We start from the raw sequence: 25,627 nt of genomic DNA, 5'->3' as shown, positions 1-25,627 counted from the left end.
AAGCTTTGGGAAAGATTGAGTAAGGAGAATTTGAGATGTCCACAGAGTTTGAACGTGAAACTCATTTTTACATAAAGGAATATAACGGATGGTGTTTAGATTTGATGCCATTCATTATTACTTTAGCAAAATAACATTGTCCTAAGTTCTATACAGGTAAATACACAGAAAATTCTGGAACGTGGCTTGCCTCTGAGCTAGGCACTTTCCCTCTAAACTGTTTGGATAAACTCGCCTGCCCCCGCCGCCCCCTTCCCCCTGCCAGATCACATCACTGGACTTTAAAAAACAAAAATGAAGTGGATAGATTTTTTCCCCCAGATTCCAATACCTAGAAATCATTGAACAAATTAATAGGAGAAATGTGTGTTCTGAATTTATTAGAAAACAGTAGTCAAGCAGCTTAAACATTGTTCACTGTCAGAGGGCTGTGTTACTGTCTAACACTGTTACATGAATAGAGATTGGCTGGACCAGTTAATAGAAATACAGATAATTTTGCAGCTAAGAAAGATTTGCCTTTAGCTGCAAACCACACACTCTTTTCAGACATAATCTTCAGTAAATGGAGTGCAACATTGTGGAGGAAAGTCAGTGTGACCAATTCTGACTGCTGGCTTTCAGGCCTGTTCCAGAAGGATTAGGACGATGGCCGGCTTATTCTCTGCATTATGTACATGCATTGCAATGCCTGAGAGCTGGCTCACGCTCTGCATTTTGGAGAAATCACCTTTCTTCTCATATAATGGAAAATAGAGAAACATAGAAAAGAGAGCAACTTTGAGATCAAAGTATTATTAACAGGCAGGAAAAAATAGAGTCTTGGTTTAAGGCCACCCAGAGTGATGAACAGTCTTGGACCCACAGGCCCACATGACCTGCCTGACTTGGAGATGCAACCTACAAACTGATTTCATGATTAAGAAGTTAAAAACTTGATTTTTCAACTAAATCCAATTGTTAATAATGTGGAGACTACTAAGCAAGTTCATAATTCTAGTCAACAATACTAAATTCAAAGATGTAAAACTTCATATTTTTTTCTTGTTACTTAATAGAGGCAGTTTTATTTTAAATGAAAAAAAGTGTGTCCCACAATTTTCTTTCTTGATAGCCTTCATTCAAAAAGGTTTACTTTTCACTGCCCTAGATTGACAAAGACATAAACAAATTCAGAAAACAAGTCTGTTACTGTGTCACCGTCCATCCATGTTAGAAAATACTACTGCCTACCACTGAGTGTGTGTGTGTGTATGTGTGTGAGTGTATGTGTATGTGTGTGTGTATGTGTGTGTGTGAGTGTGTGTATGTGTGTGAGTGCGTGTGAATGTGTGTGTGTGAGAGTGTGTGTGTGTCTGTGTGTTGGGGGGTGCATGCCTGTGTAAATGGGCGTTTTTCATGTCACTTGCTAATCCTCAGATAGGTCTCATTCTCTGAGCCCCAATGTCCTCATCTGAAAAATGAGGCTAATGATACCTATTTCCCATCATGGCTGTTGGTGCTGAATGGAATAATGTGTGCACATTGTAAATTTTATAGCCCTACAGCCATGCAAGATATTGCTGTCACCACCACCATGCTTCATCACATGTATGCCGTCTGCCATGGGATAACGTGAAGACATTACAAACTTCTTAGGGTAATGAAATTTCTTAACACCAGCTCTGGAGCCTAGGTTTATAAATGGTACAGATTGTTTTGGAGACGTGCAAATGCAGTTATGTGAGGGTTGGCCAGCTTTTGGGTTTCGTTGTTAAATATAATATTTATTTAACCAAAGTAATATATAAGCAAGACTTAAGGCATAGCTCATAGTTAGAACTACAGAGCTTTATTGTGGAAGACAGTGTGGCAATTCCTCAAAGAAATACCATGCAATCCAGCAATCCCATTACTGGGCATATACTCAGAGAAATATAAATCATTCTATTATGAAGACACATGCATACATATGTTCACTGAAGCACTGTTCACAATAGCAAAGACATGGAATCAACCTAAATCCCCATAAATGATAGACTGGATAAAGAACATGTGGTGCATATACACCATGGAGTACTATGCAGCCATAAAAAGGGATGAGATCGTGTTCTTTGCAGGCATATGGATGAAGCTGGAGGCCATTATCCTTAGCAAACTAACACAGGAACAGAAAACCAAATACTGCATGCTCTCACTTATAACTGGGAGCTAAATGATGAAAACACATGGACATACAGAGGGAAGTAACACACACTGGGGCCTTTTGGAGGGTGGAGGCGGGGAGGAGGGAGAGGATCAGGAAAAATAGTGGGCACTAGGCTTAATACCTGGGTGAGAAAATAATCTGTACAACCAACCGCTTGTGTAACAAACCTGCACATGCACCCCTGAACTTAAAAGTGAAAAAGAATGACAGGGCTTTAAATAAAACCCAATAATTCCATTTTCTTTTCTTTTTCTTTTTTTTTTTTTTGAGATGGAGTCTCACTCTGTCCCCCAGGCTGGAGTGCAGTGGCACAATCTTGGCTCACTGCAATCTCTATTTCCAAGGTTCAAGTGATTCTCCTGCCTCAGCCTCCCGAGTAGTTGGGATTACAGACATGTGCCACCATGCCCAGCTAATTTTGTATTTTTAGTAGAGACGGGGTTTCTCCATGTTGCTCAGGCTGGTCTCGAACTCCTGACCTCAGGTTATCCACCCGCCTCGGCTTCCCAAAGTGCTGGGATTATAGGCGTGAGCCGCTGCACCTGGCCAATAGTTCCATTTTCAAAGTCTCTCCCATACTTTCATTTCTTCAGCGTTGTTATGATATATTAACTGTTTTTTCTGATTCTGCATTTGTATTTATACATCACATGCTACTAACCACTAAGTGCTGTTTGGTAATTTTTTTTAACTGTCCCTTCTGAGGTGAGGATTTAGTAGTTCTCTTTTTATCCCACCCTTATGTGTTTCTTCTTCCATCCTTCCAATACATATTACAATTTTATTTAAATCATTAATAAATGCTTATATTATCATGACTTTGTAAATCTTATCCATAGCCGAGTCACCCAGTGTGCTATGAAAACCTTTTCTTTCTTGTATTATTGGTCTTATTTTAAAACTTATTCTCATATGGACTTACTCATGATTCTTCCACAAAGTTCTTAACAAGACAATAAATGTTTTATTGCATTTAATTGTATCAAATAATGAGTCAGTTTCATGGTTTTTCTTGTAGACAGCCCTTCTGGTTCCTTCCATCATCTTGCCCTGTCTGAACTGGTTTTTACATAGCTTCCGTTCTTCTCCAATACTTTGACATCCTTCTGCCATTTTCCTCAGGCGGATCCTCTGACTTCCAGATTTCCTAAGCGTCACACCTCCTTTTCTGACTTATGCCTTGTCTGATGGAACAAACAATTTTAAGAAGGAGAAGAACAACACCAGCCTCCTCAATGAGGTTTTTTCCCCAGGAACTCTCTTCCTATTTTTAGATGACCAAGTTGAAAAAGTTTTTCAGGATGTGAAACATCCGCAGGAGCTTCTTTGCAGAGGGTACATGGGAGTCAGATATTTAGAGTCCTTTTATGTCTGAGAATATATATACATTTTACCTTCACACTTGACTGAGAGCTTTTCAGGTTATGGAGTTCTAGATGGGAAATAATTTTACCTCAGAAATGTGAAGGCATATCTCTGTTGCTGCTGTGCTTACAGAGTCACAGCTGAGAAAAATTCCATTCTAATTCTCAATAACTTTACATCTTTTTCTTTCTTTCTGGTTTATTTTTAACATTTTTCCCTTTATATACATTGTTTAGGAATTTCAAAACTGGTGTACTTTGTATAGGTACATATATTCATGGGTTTTGGGACCTTTTTAGATCTCTTCGCTCTAAAAACTTTTAATGCCAAGAAATTGTCTGGTATTTTTTTTTTTTGGGTTGGGGGAGAATATTTTCCTCCTCCCCAATTTACCAGTTGCTTTTTTCCTGGAATTTATATTAAATAGCCAATGTATCTACTGAACTATTCCTCTGATTTTTTTTTTCTATTAAAGTTCTCCTTTACCTTTTATTCTTCTTTCTGGGAGATTTCCTCATTTGTTTGCCATCCTTTCACTGGATTTTTAAATTTTTTGTGATCATACTTTTTATTTCTATGAGCTCTTTCTTGTTTTCTGAGGTTCCTTTTTGTTTTATTTTATTTTTGTTACATAGCTTTAATATCTTCTTTTATTCATTGAGGGTATTAATAATAATTTTTGGATGTTGTATTCACCCTACATTAATTCTGTTTTCTTCAAAAATTTTCTTCTCTTCATGCTGATAGCTTCTCTTTACATTGGAGGCTGTTCAAATGTCTGATGATCCAGTAATATTTAAGAGAGAGGCCCCAAAAGGCTGAATGGAAGCTCGGTGTGCATGTCTGTGACTTATGCTTCACCGTGGGGTCCTGGTTTGTTTTATTGAAAAAACCCTAAACTTTAGCATTTTCTGTTTAGTTTTCTCAGAGAAGAATCCTCCACTTTCCTTAAGAGTTCTACATCTATCTTTTTTCTGAGGCTGAATAATAATAATAATTATTATTATTTTGGAGACAGAGTCTTGCTCTGTCCCCCAGGCTGGAGTGCAGGGGAGTGATCTCGGCTCACTGCAACCTTCACCTCCTGGGTTCAAGTGATTCTCCTGCCTCAGCCTCCTGAGTAGCTGGGATTACAGGCATGTGCCACCACGCCTGACTAATTTTTGTATTTTTAGTAGAGACAGGGTTTCGCCATGTTGGCCAGGCTGGTCTCGAACTCCTGACCTCAGGTGATCCAACCGCCTCAGCCTCCCAAAGTGCTGGGATTACAGGTGTCAGCCACCGCTCTGTGCCCTGAGGCTGAATTATTATTATTCAGTGGATAGGCTTTCATTTGCTCTCTCTGCTTTTAGTAGAGGGTCTCACACTCAAACCCAGCTGCGGTTGTATTTTCTAGTTCTCTCTGGTGTAGCTTTTTTAGAAACTAAATCTCCAGTCTCATAGCTGTGTGTGGCACATGGGAGTAGTCAGAGGTCCTCAGAATGGGGGTCTAATTACTCTCTAGAAAGGATTCTTCCTGTTTTTGGCTCCTCCTCACACCCTCACCTTCAGCACTACCTGATGCCTCTAGTTTCTGAGCTTTTCTGGAACTCTGTGGGGTGACCCCACCTCTTTTTGTTTGCTGCTTCCTTCTTAACACATTTAATTTCTGGATTTGTCTACTCTGCCTGCATTCAGCTCACTTCGCAGCTTCCAAAAAGGTTGTCATCTGTCTCTTTTATTGTCATCTCCTGTTTTCTTTCTTTTCTTTCTTTCTTTTTTTTTTTTCTGATGTATGTCTTTTATTTCCTTGACTTTCATCTTACTGGGAGTTTCTGGAGAGAGCTGGGCTAAAAGTATGTGTCCAGCTCACCATAGTGACCTGGAAGTTGCTTATTCTGTTTTGCTTTACAACAATAGAAAAGTTAACATATTCGTGTATTTCTTCAGAATTTTTAAACAATGTTGTTCTTAGTTCCTCTTACTTCTAAAGGACTTTTAAGAGTTTTTTTAGGTATTTCATCTTTCCCAATTCTCTGTCTGTGACCAGGGGTGAATTGGTAATTTTACATCTTTTTTTCAAGCATTCCAAGTAGAGGAGGCACCCCCTGTGACTTCCAGTGGCATTCTGCAGCAATTAAGTCGCATTCATTCAGCTCATCATTTACCTTGCAGCCATCAACTCCTTTCAAAATATCCCTTTGATTGTCAGTAACTACGGACGTGAAGCTGTGGGTTTCTTCCAGGAACAATGCTCTTCTCTGTAGCCTGTGTTCTCCCAGTTTTCTGGGAAGCCCTGAGACTTGTCATTCTCCTAGCAGCTCAGATGTCATTCTCCTCAAACACCCAGATTTCATTTAGCACCAACGAGGTGCTCAGTCTGGGATTTCTGAGGGACTGTCACTGGGGAGAGGCTGTTGCTAATGAGGTGCAAATTGGCAGCAGCTGGGGAGGAGCTGCTCTCCCCCTCTAGGGCTGGGCCCCAGGGGAGGAGGGGAGGGTTGCTCTGACATTTTCAGAGGAGGTTGGTGAGGGGCCGAAACTAGAGACTCCTCACCCTTTAGCAAGGCCTGATGCCGGCTGGGGGAGGCCCTTGCGTCTTGCTGAGAGGCTGGTCTGGTCTCACACAGCCCCACCTCCAGAGTTGCTGCCAGCTGGCTAATTTCTTGGCTGCCTTTTCTGGCTGGCTTTACTTGCAAGCAGGAGAGGCCATGATCAGACACGGGGTTTTCCCAGACATTGGAGAGACAGCTAAGAAGACCCACAGCCCCCAGAGACACTGTCCTTGGGATTGGTGTTCTAGAAGGTTATGAGGTTGGGGTTTGGTGGTGGAAGAGGGGTTACTGTAGCAACTGTTGAAACAAGAGAGCCCATCCATCTCCCCCCAGCATTTGCCCGCCTGTTTTACATGGAAGAGCCTCTTATGCATTAAACTGTTCACCTGAGTGCTCCCACCAGCTGCGCTTCTCTGCTTCTGCAAGGTGCAGGGCTCTCACAGCCATTTTCATCTGCAAGGGTCTCTGCCAGAGCTGTGGCAGAGTTTTCTGTGGGATGAATCAGAAACTATGTTCTGATGAAGAGAAAATGGAGGGCAGTGGGTGGATGTGGAATGTCAGTAGGTAGTTAAGTGGCTTTTTGTCTCCTGGTCTGTCTGACAAAGTGTGCTGATTGGGGCCTCCTGCTGTGAGATTCATTTGGGTGATCTTGAGCAAATCTCTTAATTTCTCTGACTTTAGCATCCTTCATCTTTTTTCTCTGTATCTCATTTTTTCTAACTTTTTAAGGAGCACACTGAGTGCTAGCCTAGATGCAAGGATGAGTGAAATGAATAAAATGCAGTCCCTGTCCTCACAGAACTCACCTTCTGGTGGAAGAAGGTGGACATATGAATAACATAGACTTACACATGATGAGAAATGCACTATGTCGAAGGCATGCAAGAAGTGTCATGGGATGATGAAGGAAGGGGCAACGATGCTCTCTGAGAGGGTCAGAGAATGCCCTACAGCGGTAGTGACATTTGAACTAGTTGTTGAAGACTGATTCTGTAGGGGGACAAGGAATAGTAATGGAGGTTTGAAAAAACATGGTGTATTCTAGAAAAGACAAGTTGTTTGTTGACACTAGCATGCATGTGCAGGATGAACTGGCAGGCTGTGGGGCTGGCAGTGGACTAGGTCAGATGATGTAGAGTGCTTGCCATACAATGAGTTTGGATCTCACCTTCTTGGGGATGGGGAGTTGTGCTGGGCTGTGCAGAGAACCATGATCAAATATTTGCTAAATGAGTAGGCTGGGCCATATGATCATTTAAGATCCCTTGTAGTCTGGCTGGGCGCGGTGGCTCACGCCTGTAATCCCAGCACTTTGGGAGGCTGAGACGGGCAGATCACAAGGTCAGGAGATCAAGACCATCCTGGCTAACACGGTGAAACCCCGTCTCTACTAAAAATACAAAAAATTAGCTGGGCGTGGTGGCGGGCGCCTGTATTCCCAGCTACTCAGGAGGATGAGGCAGGAAATGGCATGAACCTGGGAGGTGGAGCTTGCGGTGAGCCGAGATGGCGCCACTGCACTCCAGCCTGGGCGACAGAGCGAGACTCTGTCTCAAAAAAAAAAAAAAAATTCCCTTGTAGTCTGAAGTTCTTGGATTTTCTGTGTGGGTACAAAGCTGTGGGTCTGGGAACACAGCTTCGTTGAGGAGTGTTATCTGGTGTAACGTCTGTGAGTAGGTGTTTAAATGTGGGCTGTACTCAATAGCTATATTAAGAGGTAGCATCAAGCAGGGAGTGGAGCACCAGGTTCCCAGTTAAGCTGGAGTTTAAATATGCAAGTCTTGTTTCAGCCTTTGATCGTGCTTTTGACCATGGCTAAAGCACTTAATCTGTCGAAGAGCCTTAGGATCATCACCTGTAAAATGGAAATTTCCACTTCTGTGCAGTTGGGAGGGCTTTTTGTAGAAGCTTTATTTGACAATGATTTTTCTGTTGCTTAGGTCATTTGAGGGGAAAAACATTATTTTAAAGTTTAACGTTATTTCTAATTGTCTTAGGAACTATCAACATACATGGAAATAGAAATTATCTGTGTATTGATTTGTGTGTAATACACTTATGCTGAGTTTTTCCTGAGTTTTTGATCCATAGATAGATAGGAATCTGGTGGGAGTTGGAAATATGGGCAAAAAATGGTGGGAGGGCCAGGTGCGGTGGCTCACGCCTGTAATCCCAGCACTTTGGGAGGCTGAGGCAGGTGGATCACCTGAGGTCTGGAGTTCAAGACCAGCTGACCAACATGGTGAAACCCCGTCACTACCAAAAATACAAAAAATTAGCCGGGCATGGTGGCGCATGCCTATAATCCCAGCTACTTGGGAGGCTGAGGTAGGAGAATCCCAGCTACTTGGGAGGCTTGAACCTGGGAGTCGGAGGTTGCAGTGAGCTGAGATTGCGCCATGCACTCCAGCCTGGGCAAAAATAGCAAAACTCCGTCTCAAGAAACAAACAAAAAAATTGTGGGAGATGGGAATATGTGCCAAAATGGTGTGACAGGAGCTCAGTTCATGAATGTACAGATACACAAAGCTTAATGGTCCACTTGAGCCATCTGAGGAGTGCACTTGTGTGGTTGATGACACATTTCTGGACTCCTAAATATTAGTTTATGCTTATTGAACTTTTGACCTAGAGGATTATTATGGAATGGAATCACATGATGAGCAGTTTGGACCAACTTCAGAGCAATTCTAAATCTCTGAGTTGCTTGTTTGCTTTCGGGTTGGGTGTATTTCCTTCAATTTTGTCTTAGAAGGTTTTTAGCTTGGTAGCCTGCCATCTTCTCAAAATATTCCCAGTTAGCTCATCTTTGTAACCAAATGGAATAAACGGTTTCTATATGATTCTCATGCTGTAAGACAATGTCATTGATAGTGTGTAGCCAAGTAATGGTGAAGCCAATAAGAATATTCAAAATATGGAGCAACTGGTACTGGTTGTGGATGACTGATAAGTTCGTACTAGTACATAGTGTCTGATGTTAGCCCCTGCTGTGGCTAAGAAGGCCTGGGACACATATGCATAGGAATAAAACAGATGTGGCATATTAAAGACTGGGTAAGAACGGGTAAGAAAGGCATGGGAAGGTACCTTTTAGCATTGGCCTCACTCAGATACAGTTTGCATTCTCTACATTCATAGGACTCTTATCATTGAAATAATCCACTGGTATCTGCAGATTGATTTTCCAGTAGGAGTGATGGTCAGTGTGACCTACCAAATATCCTCACATCTGGTCTGCAAGGGCTTTATTAATCACTAGTGAAATTATGACCATGGTCTGTGACTATAGGACTGTATTGGGGGAAGGTGAGTCACAATTCGACAGCAACAGTCTTTACTTGTTCTATACACATAAGAAAAGTACTCATTGAAGAGTATGTTTTCCTCATTCTGAACTCAAATAAACACTTTGTTATTATTGAATGTACGTCACTTATCACCTTTAGTATTATTTGAGAGTTATAGGTATATATATCTTGTGGCCTCTAAATAATTGTAAAATCCTGAGGGCAAAGTAGTTAATTCATTCAATAAATATTTATTAAGCACCGAGTATGTGTCAAGCACCTACTGTGTGTTATAGACACTGAATACAAATGAATTAGACAATGAGACACTTTGAACTGATGACACTTTGAATCGAATTGATGAAAGGATGATGGGGAATTGTTCAGCTGAAGAGGGGTGGGAAGGGTCTTCTACAAAGGTCAAGAGGTCAGCATAAGCACAGGTATGGCCATGGGAAATGACTTGGCTGATTAGGAAATAAAAAGCAAGTTGGTAACCGAGAAATATAACATGATCAGTTGGGTCAAGAAGTGAGACGAGAATGATAACAGTGTTTATCACTTAAATTGTCATTTTAGTGTTGCTATTCAGTGAGGGAGATTTTGTCATAACTCCTGGGATGCTACTGGCATCTAGTGGTTAGAGGTCAGGCTGCTGATAAACATCCTGCAATGCACAGGATGGCCCCTCACAACAAAGAACTCTCTGGTCCAAAGTGTCATTAGTGCCAAGGTCGAGACTCCCTTCTTCGGATCTTTTTACATTTGGATTGCATCATTCAGGTCTTAACTCAAAAGTTCCTTCTTTAGCAGCTTCCTTACTCACCCCCTATTGTCATATAAAAATTTGCCTCTCCTTCTCTGTCACTCTCTATTACAAAACAATGTTTTTTGTCTTTATACCTTTTGATACCATCTAATGTTATATTATGCATTTGTTTATTTTTATTATCTGTCTCTCCTCTTTTAAAATATAAGCACCACAAGGTCTTTGATTGGTTCACTGCTGTATCTCTAGAGCTTAGAATAGTGTGAGGCACATTGGAAAATGCATGGAAAAGTTCAATATATGGGTGTTCTGAGTGGAAGAATGTGGTAAGTTGGACATAGACTCTGAGTTCCTGGAATAATCACAGTAGTTAACATTCATTTTTACCATTGATACTAGGCCCTGTTCCAAGCATTTTGCATGTATTAACTCAATCCCCAAAACAACCTCAGGGGGTAGGTATCTGATTATTTCCATTCTACATATGAACCAACTGAGAAAGAGAGTTATTTTCCCAAGATGTACATCTAGCAAGGGGCAGTGTTCAAGAGGTAAATTGCCCAAGGTGATCTTGTGTGTTTATTCACACATGCTTTTTGTGGCTATTAGTCTGAGAATGCTATGGGGAGTTGGGGGTTAAGTGACTTGGGAATTGGATTTGAGGGGTTTCAAACAATGCATCCAAAACATAGATGGACGGGAAATATAATGAACTAAATGTTGGTCATATCGCACTCAAGGGACCTGTGAGCCATCAAGGTGAAGGCTAACATGAAAAGGATTCTCTCATTCAAGAGAATGGTTTCAGATGAAGTGTGGAATTTGTAATGGGAACTGAAATCAGGAGAGCAGACTTGATTATTTAGGGACAGGTTGATGATGGGAACAGACCCAGGGAACACCCTGACATCACAAATATATAAGGGCCTATAATATAATATAAAAGGGTACCCATAATGAAAATAGAAAGAGCAGTAGAGTCACATTTCAAGTTCTGCTTTGGGCACAAGCTTCTATCTAAAGTCTCTTTTCTCCCTTGTAGAACTAATCTTTTCTCTCTCTGTTCTACCTACAGTATTTTATATTTTCAATGTATTAAGTGACATAAGAGAGGTGTTAGATAATAGCTAGTACTACGAGTGTCACCTAAGCCCGTAAACTTCCACAGGCCTACATCTTCATCTTTGTTCATATCCATGTCCCTAGCGTGAACATCCATAGCTGACATCTAGTAGTCTTTCAATATTAATAAATAGATGATGTTGAATATGTGAATTAGAAAATGTTTATTGGGAGAATAAATGTATCATTTCATTAGAAAATTTGTTTGTAACCCACATCAAAAGAAGAAGAAGAAATGTGTAGATCAGTGAACTTTTCTGTTGTTTTTTCTATTTCAAAATACACTCAACCCCCGACTTCTTAGGCAAGCCATTTAGCTAATTTCTGAAAGGGAGCAGCTAATCCAGCACCAAAGCCTGTGCAGAAGCTGGGCCAGCAACTCAAATAAGATGATTTTCTGAGAATGACCAGCCATGTTGGCTTCACATATGGAAGACGAGTTTCTGAATTCTCCCTCCTCTCGGGTGGCACATGGTGTCTTCTCTTTCTAGCTGCTCCAGGACGAAGGAGGGGGGATGAATTTTTAAAAGATTCAGGGGAAGGAATTCAGGTTCTAGAAATATCCAAGAAAAGTAATAATAAAACCAGTAATTCTACTTTTATGAGCCAAAGGTCAATATTATTTAGTTTTTTTTTTTATTTTTTCCTGGGAAGAAAAAAGAGAGCTGATCTTTTGGGTAATTATTGATATTTCCATGTTTTCAGCAGGATTCAAGTTAGCCAAGGAGAAGCATAATCTTTCATTATCCAAACTGGAGATGTCTTGAGTAATCCAGTGGCAGGAATTGCTGCTGAAGGAGTGTATTTTCTTTTAGTTCATCTGCCTTTTTGACCTAAAACCAGCGTACCATTTTTTTGTTTTAAAATATACGTGATATACATACATGGTTTGTCTACCTCTGGAATATTTATAGGCTCATATTCCTTTCTATACTTGTTCTCTAGCGGGGGTGCTTATAACATTTAATAATACTTACAGAGTCTGTTTCTTAGTCTCATTTCAAACCTCAATGTTTGTGCCAGGTTGTTTGGAGCAGCTCAAGTCTCTGAGGTTATTTTCCCAAGATGTATATCTAGCAAGGGGCAGTGTTCAAGAGGTATAATACCCAAGGTGATCTTGTGTATTTATTCACACATGCCCTTTGTGGCTACTAGTCTGAGAATGCTATGGGGAGTGGGGGATTAGGGGCCTTGGGAATTGGATTTGAGGGGTTTCAAACAATGCACCCCAAAACATAGATGGGTGGGAAAAATAATGAACTAAATGTTGGTCATTTAGTCCATTATTAGCCTCAGAGAAGCTAGAAGCTCTTAAAATATTCAAGAGTATGAGAGATTCAACCCTTCGAAGAGAAGAGGAGTTGATGATGGAATTTGAATCGTTTTTTGGCATTTCTTTACTTTATAAGAACACATGACGGTGTTCCATTCCAGTGCAGAGGAGCTGTTCTTAACTCTTAAATGGAGAGCCCTGCTGTTAGAGAAAAGGCTTCGTGAAGGCTCCTGTGTGTGGGGTCATCCTACTCTCCGGGTGGCTTCCTCCTCCCATTCCTCACCTTCATCCATCACTGTACTTGCACATCCATCCTTTCATTCTGCTCTGGAGATCCTTTGGAAAGGGAGAATAGAAAGGACAAACCATTGATCGATAGAGGCAGTAAAGCTGTCCTTTGGGGTTTCACAATATGTCCTGTACTATTTTTGTGTTTAGCAAAAATCCATTTTGCCTCATTATGAGCCTGTTTTCCCTTGGGCTTTCACTTCTGAGATTATTTCAAGGGAAATTATGTCTATATATTAGTCTCATTTGCCCACATCTCACTCAATAACTATTAGCGTTATTAGATATCCTGAACCAGGAAGCTGCATTTTGCCAGCACTAAATGCAGCTTGAAATTCAAAGATTCAATTTGGAGAAAAATCACTACATTTGAGTGGGTTAAAATCTTGCCAAAAATGCATTTTTCCATCTGTCTCATGGCAAAAGCTCTTTTAAGATTTGAAATTTATAGCTAAGGACTTCCAGTCATCTTTGCAAAGTGGTCTGGAACTAGAGAATATGATAAGACTGGAGGTACTTGGGAGCATTCCTCTGAGGTGGAGGAAGGAGTTGACATCAGTTTCTTTCTGTTTTAAGTTTATTGAATGGTGGACATCCTCAGTATCAAATGCTGTGAAGTCAGCACCAGCACACTCAACACCCAAGGGGGTGGTTCACAAAGTGCATCCATAGCCCTGCCACGCCCAGTGTGACATGACTGAAAGTGATGATCATGGTCACTTTCATTCTTTCTTCCTGACCTGAATCTGCCTGGGAATATGAACATTGGGTTCATCCTTACTGACCTACTCTAATACATACAAAGAAGGCTGTCAGCTTGCCAAACCCAAACAAGAAATCAGAGGCCAAGTCAGGAGTTGGTTTTCAGCCTCTTCACTGATGTGACCCAGGAGAAGTGATGCTCCCGAGAGTGACTGTCTGCACTTTGTCTTAGCAGTGCTGATGAGACCAGTGAGCACTAGCACCATCACCAGTGAGAACTGTACCTGGTCCCCCTAAGTCTGTTCCTGTGTGGGTGGACCCTGCCTCTTAGGGTTGTTCCTGGTCTATTTACTTTCTTTAAACAGAGGAACTCCCTTCCTTCTGGTTGCATATCAACTTGTGTCTCTGGCATACTTTCTCAGGGTCATTGTTTGGGGCTCTGCTCTGTTGACTTCTTGACCATTTCTGCTGTTCTCGCAACTGATGCTTTCTGTACTTCGGTGCATTGTGCAGCAATGATTTGAGAGGTTCAGTCTTCTCTCTTACACATATAAGACATCCTGTATTGTTATTGCCTCAAATATGACTATATACCTAATTAGTATCACACAAAGGCGCAACATAGCTTAGTGAGTAGAACACAGGCTTTAAAAGTCAACCTTCTTGGGACTAAATATTTACCACTTTCCAGGTCTGTGGAGTCAGGCAAGTGATTTAAAATCTCTTGGCCTCAATATCCTTCTTTGTAAAATAGAGATATTAGTATAGTCTGTCACATAGGGTTATTGTGAGTGATGATTAAATGAATTAATATATGGAAAGGGCTTGGAATACTGCCATTTATGCATTAAGATATCAAATTTTAGTTACAGTGATGATGCTAGGGGCTCAGCATAAGGACCTCAAAATTGCGCCTGAAAGGGCAGGGTTTCTTTATCAGTCATCCTGCCTTGGCACCTTACTGTCCTCTAAGACTCTAGGGAAATATAAAACAAAACTAATTAAGAGGTTGAGTGTAAGCTTTGCTACAGTTAAATGCCTCCCGTCTTTATAGGATATAGAACCTAGATGATGATGATGATGATAGTCAACATTTATTGAGCAATTACCATGTACCAGGCCTGTCCTAAGCCAAATATGTAATCATATTTATTCCTCATAAAAACCATATGATGAGAAGCTTATCTCTGTTTTTTAGTTGAGGAAACTGCAACTCAAAGACTTGGAGCTAGATTTACACCCAGGTCTAACTATGAATAATCATTATGAACTTTCTCCTTTACACTAGACTGGTTCTCCTCAAAACAGGAAGCCCGAGGGAATGGAAAGTGAAGGGCATCTCCCTGGGATCTAGTCCTTTGAGATGTTGGACTTTGAGCAAGCTACGCAACTTCCCCAAAGTTCAGAATTTTAATCTGTAAACTAAGATAACAGCTATTTCACAGGTTGTTGTGAGGGAGACAAAACAAGCTAAAATATATAACAAAGCAGGCAAAGATGTATACTTCAAGAGTCACTACCTACCTAGGCTGGGGCAATTAGAAATTCTAAATATATGTACATAAGTATTTAGCAAAGTTATATACTTCAAGAGTCACTACCTACCTAGGCTGGGGCAATTAGAAATTCTAAATATATGTACATAAGTATTTAGCACAGATGATAAAGGATGGGCAATTCATTCTGAGATTAGGCTGTAGTTCTTCTTCAGTATGGAATCAGAGCTCAATTATCTTTAACCATTGTGATTTGGGGAATAGTTTTGGTCCTAATTGGGTGTACATGATGCCTTTGTCTTCAGAAGTCTGATCAATCAGGGGATGCTGCACCACAACCCTTATACTACGTTTTAGTGTTTCTCAATGTCAAGAGACTTCTGTAACAGATTTCAGTTCTTTCTGATGGCTTTGAAAAATGCTAGTAATTCTCTGTCTTTCTAATGGAGTATTTTGTGTTTGTTGTCTCCTGAGGTCAGAAAATTACTTTGGGGAAGTTGACTTTTGTGAGCTGTGAGTATGGTGTGTGTGTGTGTGTGTGTGTGTGTGTGTGTGTGTGAGAGAGAGAGAGAGAGAGAGGGAGAGAGAGAGAGAGAGAAAGAGAGACAGACAGAGAGAATTAAATCTGTATTGTTAGTTCTTGGTTAGAATAGAGCTTAATGGATCTTCCCATTTGTGAAAACCCCATAACTCTTCCTGTGTAATATCATTAAAGAGCCTCCTGACAGCAGTAGGTAAGGAGTAGCTCTGGGGTGTTACTTTTTAATCACTTTAAGCCCATTTTCGTGTGTTATTACAGAACCATCCCTCTTCTTTATCACTGCATCTTCCAATAGCACACCATTGCTCCAGGACCAGAATTCAGCAACAATTTTAGTTTTTCTGTTGACAATAAATATGTTAGCCTGACTGATCAAGGCTGATGCATGAGCTTGATCTTTGGGATTATTTCCATTCTACATCTGAGTACATACGTAGAATGTACTACATAAGATAGAGCCAGTTCTGCCAACTGTCTGTGGTTGTCATAGGTATGCTTCATCAAATATTCTGGCGCATGGTAGGTGTACTTCCTGGCTTTGTATATTTGAGTGGGGCCACCTAACCAGTTCTGGACAATATGTTGTGATTGGAAGTGATGTGTATCACTTGTGGGATGGAATGTTTATTTGCCACAAATAAATAACTAAAAAAAAAACTTCTCCAGGGATCTCTTTTCCTTCTGCCACAGTTACATCTTCTTAATTGTCAGCCTGGGTCCAGAAAGCCCCAGCCAATTCTTTATAGACAGGCAGTGCTAGATAGACATAAACTGCTGTTATTTTAACAAGTGAGATATGTCTTGTGTTCCTACAGTATAACCTACTTCATCTCGACTAACACAATGATCCATAGTCAGGGACATGTGCTTTTTGGTGAGCAGTCAAGGTGTGGCCTTGATGTCCCTTGTTTTCTCTGCTTTGCCTTTACTGTGAAGTCTGTCTAGCAGTCTGAGAAAATTTAAGACCCTAATAATAGATGTCTTGGGGCAATGAAACTTAGTACCTTTCATAGTTTCGTTTTCTTTTCCTTAATTTTTTTTTCTGTATTTCCTTGTACCAGCCATTAATGTTTTGCCTGTCACATAGCAGCCACTCAATAAGTGAGTGATGAATGAATTTGTACAGAAATCCATTGATTGGTAGGGAACAATTAGCATTAGCATTATAGAAGTGTTTTGATTCTCCCTGAACTTATTGTTGTCAATTACTCTTTTACTCAATTCAACCCTAAGTCATACTATTTTCTATTTCCAGGGCTGCCCTGATGAGAGGTAGCTTTGGCCTATCAATAGGTGCATTGGCCTCTCTGAGACAGCAGCACAGGGGACCTCAGCCTTCTACTGCCTACACTCAGCAAACAGAAATATATGAGGCTCTTGGCTGTGAAAGCAGAAGAACCTCTTACTCCTGCACCATTTTATGGCCAAGGCCGTAGCAAACTGCTGACTCCAGAGAATTTTTTCACCTTTTTTTTTAACTTATGTGGATTTTTTTTTTTCCAACTGGGTTTTGCGCTGTTGCTCAGGCTAGAGTGCAGTGGTGCGATCATGGCTCACTGCAGCCTCGACCTCCTCAGCTCAAGTTATCCTCTCACCTCAGCCTCTTGAGTAGCTGGAACCACAGGCACACATCCTCATGCCTGGCTAATTTTTGTATTTTTTATAGAGACAGGGTTTTGCCATGTTGCCCAGGCTGGTCTTGAACTGAGCTTAAGCAATCTGCCTTCCTTGGCGTCCAAGAATGCTGGGATTACAGGCATGAGCCACAGCACCTGGCTTGTAGTTTTAACTAAACTAAAACTTCTCTGGCCCTGGAGAATTTCCCTTTCTCTAAACTTACGCATATCAGGACATGCCTAAAGTGTCTATTTTATGATAAAGTGATGAGAAGGAAAGAGACAAGGGTTAGGACAGCCCGAGACTGCAGGCTGATACCTGGTGGCAAAATACTAGTCTCTTAAACACTAGGCACATATCCTGCCCAATTAGAGATCTCCCTGGAATCAATTCCTTCTCTCCATTCCTCCTGTCATTGCTTCAGATCAGGCTTTCAAATCTGTTGATTACACTATTAAATTAGAACTGTGCCCGAGACATCAATGAGTATGAGCTATTATTATCTTTATTATTGCTATTCTGTAGCCTCCTGTTCCCGTCTCCAGTTTTTCTTCATTTCAATCCATACTGTGTATCTTTTAAAAATAGATCAGATTCTGTCATTTCCCTGTTTATAAAGCTCTCTTGCCTCCACTGCCTAGAGGATAAAGCCCTAAAGTCTGAGCTCATTGTACCTCTTCAGCCATGTTCTCACTCATGTTAGCTGTATCTGAATCATCAAGGAAGCTTGTCAAACTCTCTGTGCCCCAATTCTTTTCTCCAAGAGATTCTGGGAAGCTTTTGGGTGATAGGGAAGGGAGATATGACACATTCCTGGGGGGGTGTGGAGTTTGAGAAAGCTCCCCCAGTGATTCTGAGGCCACTTCTTCCTTACTTAGCCATCCCCACGTCCACAGCTAGAACCTCTAATGTTGCCATGTGTAATGTTGGTTCCAGCCACGCCAGGCTTCTGGAGTTCCTTAGTCTCACCATGATCTTTGACATCCTCATGGTTTGCAGGTGTATTCTCATCACTCTTTATGTTCTTCTTCCTTTTTCTGCTCGGGTCTCTCCCATGGTTTTTTAATATTTCATTTAAATGTTAGTTCTTAGGCCTTTCCTGATATTCCCAGATGACTGTCTGTCTCCTCTCATGGCATGTTGCATTGACCTACATTATTATCCTTGTTATATTGCAGCCTCATTATTTGTGCCTGCTACTGCCTGGACAGTGGGGGCTAGGGGAGGCAGGTGCCTGGTTCTGTAATCTTCTGCCAGATTTGAACCGAGTTTGGTGCATAGCAGGCACTTAATGAGAAGCACACTTTATGAGGCAGCACTGTGTGATGGTTGAGTCTGGGCTTTGGAGTCTTCCCTCTTGGGGACCTTGTGACAAGTAAATGAAATACTGTAAACAAGGCACTTAGCCTAGTGTCTGGCTCTTAATAAATGCACAATAAATGGCACCTACCATTTTTTTGAAATAAATATTTTATGATTAAGTCTGTATTTATAAGATTAATAAGTCTCTCATTTATATACTAATTTCCAGGATGCATAGATTTTTCATCCAGATAGTTTATATACCAGCAAAATGGGAAATAACAACACCTGACTTTTTTACTGGAAAAATATTGGTTGCTGTGGAGATTATCTACTACGTTGTCCTTACTCTCAAAGAGATTACAGTTAAAACACACCAATATCAACATGAACAACTGGGAAATAGCAATGAGCCAATCACAGCAGAGATCTTAATTGGCTTCATAACAAAGTGTGGTCTGTAAGCCAATGGGAATGAAAGGAGAATCAATAAATCCCAAGAGACGAGAGTTGCCTTTTTGGGGGACACAGTCATACACACACCTATATTCGCTCTGGAGGAAAAATGGTGGCAAGAGGGTGTATGACTTGATGAGTGGGGGAGACATGGTCAAGGGGACAGGCAGGCAGGTGAGAGTCTGGGCTGACTCTGGGTTGGTCCTAGTGTTAGGGCCATGCCACTCAAAGTGTGTTTATGGACAGTAGCAGCAGCAGCGGCACCTGGGAGCCTGCTGGAAATGCAGACTCTCAGGCTGGCCCCATTATTTTTTCCAGTTTCTAGTTTCAGGGCTTGCCTGATGGGAGACAGCCTTGGCCTATCAATAGCTGCAGTGGCTTCTCTGAAAGAGCAGCACAGAGAACACGGATGGACTATAATCTGCATTTTAACAGGGTCCCCAGATGATTTGTGAGCACGTGAAAGTTTGAGAAGTGCTGGCCCAGGGATGTGCAGTGACTTGGATGGGCCCTATTTAGCGCTCTCCTGTGAGCTGCTGGAACAAAATAGAGGGTACTTAAAAGCATATGCACTTCCACTGTAGGCTTAAAACTGCAGAAACGAGGTAGCTCGTGCATAAATGTAATAATTCTTTGTTCCAAATGTACCTAGATGTCATTATGACAAAACATAAAATCCATTTGGAACTGTTACTGATTCCTAGCAGCTTTTTGCCATTAGACATTTTCCAGGCATCCAAACCTAAAATAACATGGATCTTGGGTGAAGGTTTTTGAAATGCCTTATATTAAAAAGTCCTTGTATTTGAAAACCAGTAAAGAAGTATTTGGGAACCATTATGCGTTCTTTCAGTACTGCATATGCAGAATATTTTGGGTCTTCACAGATAGACTTGTGACGCAAAAATAAAATAAACTATCTCGTAATCACACAGAACAGATCACTGACATATATGGCAAGCTGTTGCAGTGACCCAGGATTAAAAGTTTAGCATAGTTCTTAAATGTGTGCCTCATACTGCATCAGCTCCTTATTTCGAGGGCTCATAGTGGATGAAGCAATTACCTGGATGGCCCTGTTTCTTGCCCTTTCCCTGGTCTTCTGCCACGTAGGTTGGTGGTGATGGTTGGGAAATGGGGGTGGCAAAAGTGTCCTTTATGGATTTTATACAGTTCTTATTCCACTTTTTGGTGGGTCACTGGCCTGGTTGCTGTCATGCATGGTGGGGAGGTGGGCAGATGAGAAGCCCAGCTCTATTGCCAATCTTAGTCCTGAGCATAGATGCAGAGGTTCAGGCCGGGTGCGGTGGCTCATGCCTGTAATCCCAGCACTTTGGGAGGCCGAGGCGGGCAGATCACGAAGTCAGGAGATCGAGACCATCCTGGCTAACACGGTGAAACCCCATCTCTATTAAAAATACAAAAAATTAGCCGGGCGTGTTGGCAGGTGCCTGTACTCCCAGGTACTCAGGAGGATGAGGCAGGAGAATGGCGTGAACCCAGGAGGCGGAGCTTGCAGTGAGCCAAGATCGCACCACTGCACTTCAGCCTGGGTGACAGAGCAAGACTCTGTCTCAGAAAAAAAAAAGAAGCAAAGGTTCAGTTTCTGATATTTTGTTTCCAATCATGTGGCATTGACACTGGAATCAGCTAGACCTGCATTCAAATCCTGACTCCATCACTTAAGCTGTTGTGTAACTTTGGGCTGGTTACCTCACTAACCTCTCTCAGACCTCTCTCAGTTTCTTCATTTGCAAAGTGGGGAATAACAACACCTGATTTAGATGCAACGCAAGTTGCAAGTCATTCAGCATTTACTCATGATCAGTGAGAGTCACTGATATCTCCGTTTTTCTCGTTTCCCCTGCCTTCTAAAGCCATCAGGTGGGGACCTTCATCTACCAAACAGACGCTAAAGAAGGATGGGCACGGTGAGTGGAAAAAGGAGGTTGAAGAGTTGTTTTTGCTCCCAAGTGTTTCATAATGAATGAGGTTAAGAAGAGAAAATAAAATACCCTGTCCCCTTGCTCTTATCTGGCTCAAATACAGCCTGTATTATTTAGCGTCAAAGAAATTATCTTCTCATGCTTTGTTCAGACCACTCCAACTCATGGCCACAGTTCTGACACTGGCTTAGCCTTGGCTGACCTGTATGAAGTCAAATAAGTTCCTTCACCTTTCTTAACCTCAGTTTCTTTATCTTGAAAATGAGAGCATGAACCTTTGTGATCTCTAAGGTATTTCCAATTATTCAGTTCTAAGAGATTATGCCCATCTGAGAACAAGTGGAATTAATGTTATGAAGGGTGCCTTCAAAGGAGAAATGCTTGAGATGGGAGCAAGAATAGATGCAAATCATGCCTGTTTTTGAGCTCGGGAAAGCTTTCATATGGCAGGGTTTTATATTCATCTGCCTGGTTGCATGCTTATGCACTGCCCTTGTTTGGCCTTGAAGAACATGGTTTTTTCCATTGTTTCTGGTGGAGATAATCACAATGACTATGTCACGTCTGCTTGGGAAACCAACCACGGCTGCTGATCTTTGGATCCTTGTCTGGGAAGCTCTCAAGCCAGTAGTAGTTTGCCTCAACCATTCAGGGGTAGCTCCTCTCTGGCCAGGACCTTGTTATGCCTTCCCTGCAGACAGCGTAAGGGATGGTAGGCATTCTTTCTCCATTCGCTCCCTCGCCAGAATCAGCACTGGTGATTGTCAGGCAGGTAAGGAGAACACTGTCATGCTCAATGGAGATGTCAGACTAATGTGAGTCAGCTCTAGCTTCCCTCAAGCACAGCTGGAAGACAAAGAAACAGATTTACTGGAGATGTGCACAAACTAGTGCCTATTATGTTAAAAAACATAAATAAAACGAGGGAGAAGGCATACAGAGAGAAATTATCTTTTAAAAACATCTTGGCAAAATAGCACTCAATACACATCAGTACAATAGTGGAGTCATCCATGTGTGTCAACCTGTAGTTCTTAATGACAGGGATGTATAAACAAGTAGGTAATAAGCAGCCCAGCTGCTTCTGGGGTTTCTCTTAACTTACTTTCTTTGAAAATGAGTTGGTGGAAATACAGCTGAAAACACAGACTCAGAAAATGAATGAGTCATTTGAGTTGAACATAAAAAAGGAGACCTGGATGAGGATTTAGAGAGAAGATCCATTCAACTCCGTAAGCCTACAAAGTAAGATTAGACTAAATAGATAGAAATTTTATTCTACTCCCAAAGGATAAACATCATTTTCCATTTCTTTTTGTAGACAGGCAAAGCTCTGCCGTGAATCATGGTTTTAATGCAGACTTCTTTACAGAAAAAGAAATATATCCATTTCCTTTCCTTTCCTGTGCCCATCCAAGCTTGTTATCGAGAGGAGTGCCTCTGTACCCTCTGTCAGCTAGAATCAATGTTAAACACTGAGCACACAAACACCAAAAACGTTTACATCTTTTTATTTTTCTTCAAAGACTTCAAAACTGCCTTGCCTTTGTTCTTACAGATAATTTTTAATAGCTGGTCTAGTTGTATTTATGTTAAATGGGGGCACAGGGGTCAAAGAGACTTATTAAAAGGACGGAATGAGTGAAGGACTTCTCTTCTGACGAATGAACAGGGCATCGAGCCAATAATTAAATCTTATTGAAGCAGAGAAAACTAGCCTATATTTATATGCCTAGAATGTTCTGAGTGCTTTCTTGTAGGATCTCTTTTCAATAATTGTAAAGTGGTAATTTTCTTCATTTTCCTGAAGAGAAAACTGATGCTCAGAGAGGCTAAATAACTGCACAAGCTCACATATCCAGTAGAGAGGGGGAAGAGATGGAAGTCCAAAGTCAATGCCACACTGCTTCCTATTTAACAATATCAAACTCAGGCATCAAGCTCCTGCTCTATGCCAGGCATTTGCTGGGTACTGGAGATGTGAAGAGAGAATGGTCTAAGCGCTTACTGTTGAGTGCTTCCCAAAGCATGTGCTCAGTGTTTGCTGGTTGTCACTTACTCTCACAAAGGAGCTCCCTCAGTCTAGCCTCAGAGAAGATAATTGTGCAAAGTGGGCATGCTTGTTAGCTTATATTTTCAGAAAATGAAAAACGCATGCCCGGACTATTTACCTCACGAATCTAAGATGATATAGTGAGCGGGTGTTAGGGATGGGACCTGGGCCAAATCCAAATAGGTTATGCATTTAGCCTTCAAATCCTTGCTGTGTTCCAATGTCCGTTTAAAGCTTGTTAAATTCTCCAGGATATTTGATACACACTTACTTAATATGTTTCATTTGCAGAAATGGTTGTATTTTAATTGAAGCTCCTGGAAGTGAAACTGCGCTTTTGTAAGAAATTCTTAAGTAAGTGGAGGAAAACATTGTGCTCAGGAAAAGTTTTCCAGAGACTTCAAAATGACATGAAATGTTAAGGCCGTGTCCAGTCAAGATGCCTGTATATAAATGTGAAAGGTGCATTGTCTTAGTAGACATCATAAAGAAAAATAGCATCAAAAAGAAAGAAAATATCATACAGCTAAACAGGTGATCTAAATAATATACATAACTTAGAAAATGTGAAATCAGTGGATAGGATTCATATGAGGATCTTTTTAACATGTTTCCTATATCAGAATCAAAAATACAGTTCCAGTCACATTACTTTCTTGTTTGAAAACATTTTTTGGCTCTTTGTTACTGACCTGTAATTTGTCTAAACTGTATACTGGAATGTAAGGCCTCTGAAGAGTGATCACAGCCCCCTTTTTCAAACTTACCTCCATCTTCTCTACAACCCAGCAAAACTGGTCTCCTCACTGTGTCCTGAATTTCCTTGTTTTGTCTCACCTGCGTTTTCTCTCAGCTTGCACCCCTCCATCCCTTCTCTCCAAATGTAGAAACCTTTAATCGCTCACTTGCTTCTCCAGGATGCATTTATGGATCTTTCCTTAATGCAAGCGACCTGCCCTGGCCTTTCCTCTGGATTCCCTTTTGTAGTGTTAATATTTGCATAGTGATTCTTATTTTGCTTTGCTTTGTATTCATTATTTTTAGTGCTTGTCTTATTTTACCTCCTAAACTATAATTTTCTTGAGAGTTTTTCTCATCTAATTTTTTTGTCTTTGTAGCATTTGGCATAGTGCTTCATGAATTGTATTAATGAACATCAGTAGGTATTAGTTAAATAAAATTCAATTAAATAAAGGCCAGAGTAAGATGTGCAGTTGGAACAGCCAGGTGTTAGATTTTCTCTGACTCAGAGATGAACAGCTTCCCAGCAAGGGAAGAAGTTCGAGGAGAGAGGCCGGTAGGAGAGGAAGCCACTTCTATAATTTGGCACTAATAAGAAATTTACTCTGGAAAATCTCAGTTTTTCACAAACCATCTTTCACTTTTCTCATGATGGAGAATATCCCTTTATTAGTCAGGACCTTCTGCAAATTAATGGGCAAGTCTCATGTCCTCATAAAGCCATAACCCTATTTATGACATTACAATTGGTTACTTAGTGATAATTATAATGTCACAAATAGAGGATTATTATGATTTGAGGTGCAAAACAGCTGTAACAAAGAAAGTCAGCAATAAGTGGACATGATGTAGTAAATTTGCAGCTGGAAAAGAATAATTCCCAGAAAGATATTAAAAATCATTTTAATAGTTTTTGGGGAACAGGTGGTTTTAGGTTACATGGATACATTCTTGAGTAGCGATTTCTGAGATTTTGGTGCACCTGTCACCCAAGCAGTGTACACTGTACACAATGTGTAGTCTTTTATCCCTCATCCACCTCCCACCCTTCCCTCTGAGTCCCCAAAGTTCATATATTATCCTTATGTCTTTGCCTCCTCATAGCTTAGCTTCCACTTAGAGAACATACAGTATTTGGTTTTCCAATCCTGAGTTACTTCACATAGAATAATGGCCTCCAGCTCCATCCGGGTTGCTGCAAATGCCATTGTTTCATTCCTTTTTGTGGCTGAGTAGTATTCCATGCTGTAATTATACCACATTTTCTTTATCCACTCATTGGTTGATGGGCATTTAGGCCCATTTTATATTTTTGCAATTGCCAATTGTGCTGCTATGAACACGTGTGTGCTCGTGTCTTCCAAAAATGCATTTTTTTGCATAAAGTTTTCCACTGAGTGATGGGGCAGGGGGGCACATGCTAAAGTTGAAGCTTTTGCCAAGGAGAGAGAGCTGAGGGCTGCAATTCTTTTGGAGGATGCTTTTCCCAGCCACAAACCCATATTGATTTCTTCCAGAACATTTACTAATCCTCTCTCCCCAGCTCTCACCCCCAGTGGGTGCAAGCCTGTGCATATAAACACACTCCCTTGTTTCCCATTCAGGATATGGAATCTTATACATCATAAAAGAGACTGATCTCCATCCTGATTCATAGGACTGTCAGCAGATGGCAGAGAGAGTGATAATGCCACTTACTATCAGGTCACTCCGAATTATTATTTATTCTGTGGAGAGTGAGACTGAGGACTGAAACCTGATGTTTAATTTTTCAAAATCACATGGTTAGAAACTGGAGGGTCCCAAGCTTTCTGGTCCTACATCTAATGAACTAATGCTTTTGTTGTTTATTTTTGCACTATACTTTATAGCTATGTAATGATGTAAAGGACACAGTTGTTTTATGAAATCCATTTCCCCTTGCTCCTTCCTTTTGAAACCTTG

General features: G+C 41.0%; 1 protein-coding gene across 9 annotated transcripts in view, besides 2 other annotated features; it reads left to right on the top strand.

Moving 5' to 3' along the window:
• The window catches only part of DGKI (diacylglycerol kinase iota), a 465,938-nt gene that overhangs the window by 20,004 nt on the left and 420,307 nt on the right, over positions 1-25,627 (top strand). The window lies entirely within an intron of this gene.
• Positions 6,140-6,189: an enhancer, noted in NCBI's record as "active region_26726". NCBI's record gives its function as "activates an Ori minimal core promoter by ATAC-STARR-seq in GM12878 lymphoblastoid cells {active_cell/tissue: GM12878}" and the evidence as "EXISTENCE:reporter gene assay evidence [ECO:0000049][PMID:35858748]".
• Positions 6,215-6,995: an enhancer, noted in NCBI's record as "NANOG-H3K4me1 hESC enhancer chr7:137504722-137505502 (GRCh37/hg19 assembly coordinates)". NCBI's record gives its function as "activates a minimal SCP1, AML or CMV promoter by ChIP-STARR-seq in naive H9 embryonic stem cells {active_cell/tissue: H9 hESC(naive)}" and the evidence as "EXISTENCE:reporter gene assay evidence [ECO:0000049][PMID:30033119]".

Source organism: Homo sapiens, chromosome 7, assembly GCF_000001405.40.
Source record: "Homo sapiens chromosome 7, GRCh38.p14 Primary Assembly".
NCBI lineage: Eukaryota > Metazoa > Chordata > Mammalia > Primates > Hominidae > Homo > Homo sapiens.
Note: the sequence above shows the minus strand (reverse complement) of the source record. Positions and strands in the feature narration are given on the sequence as shown.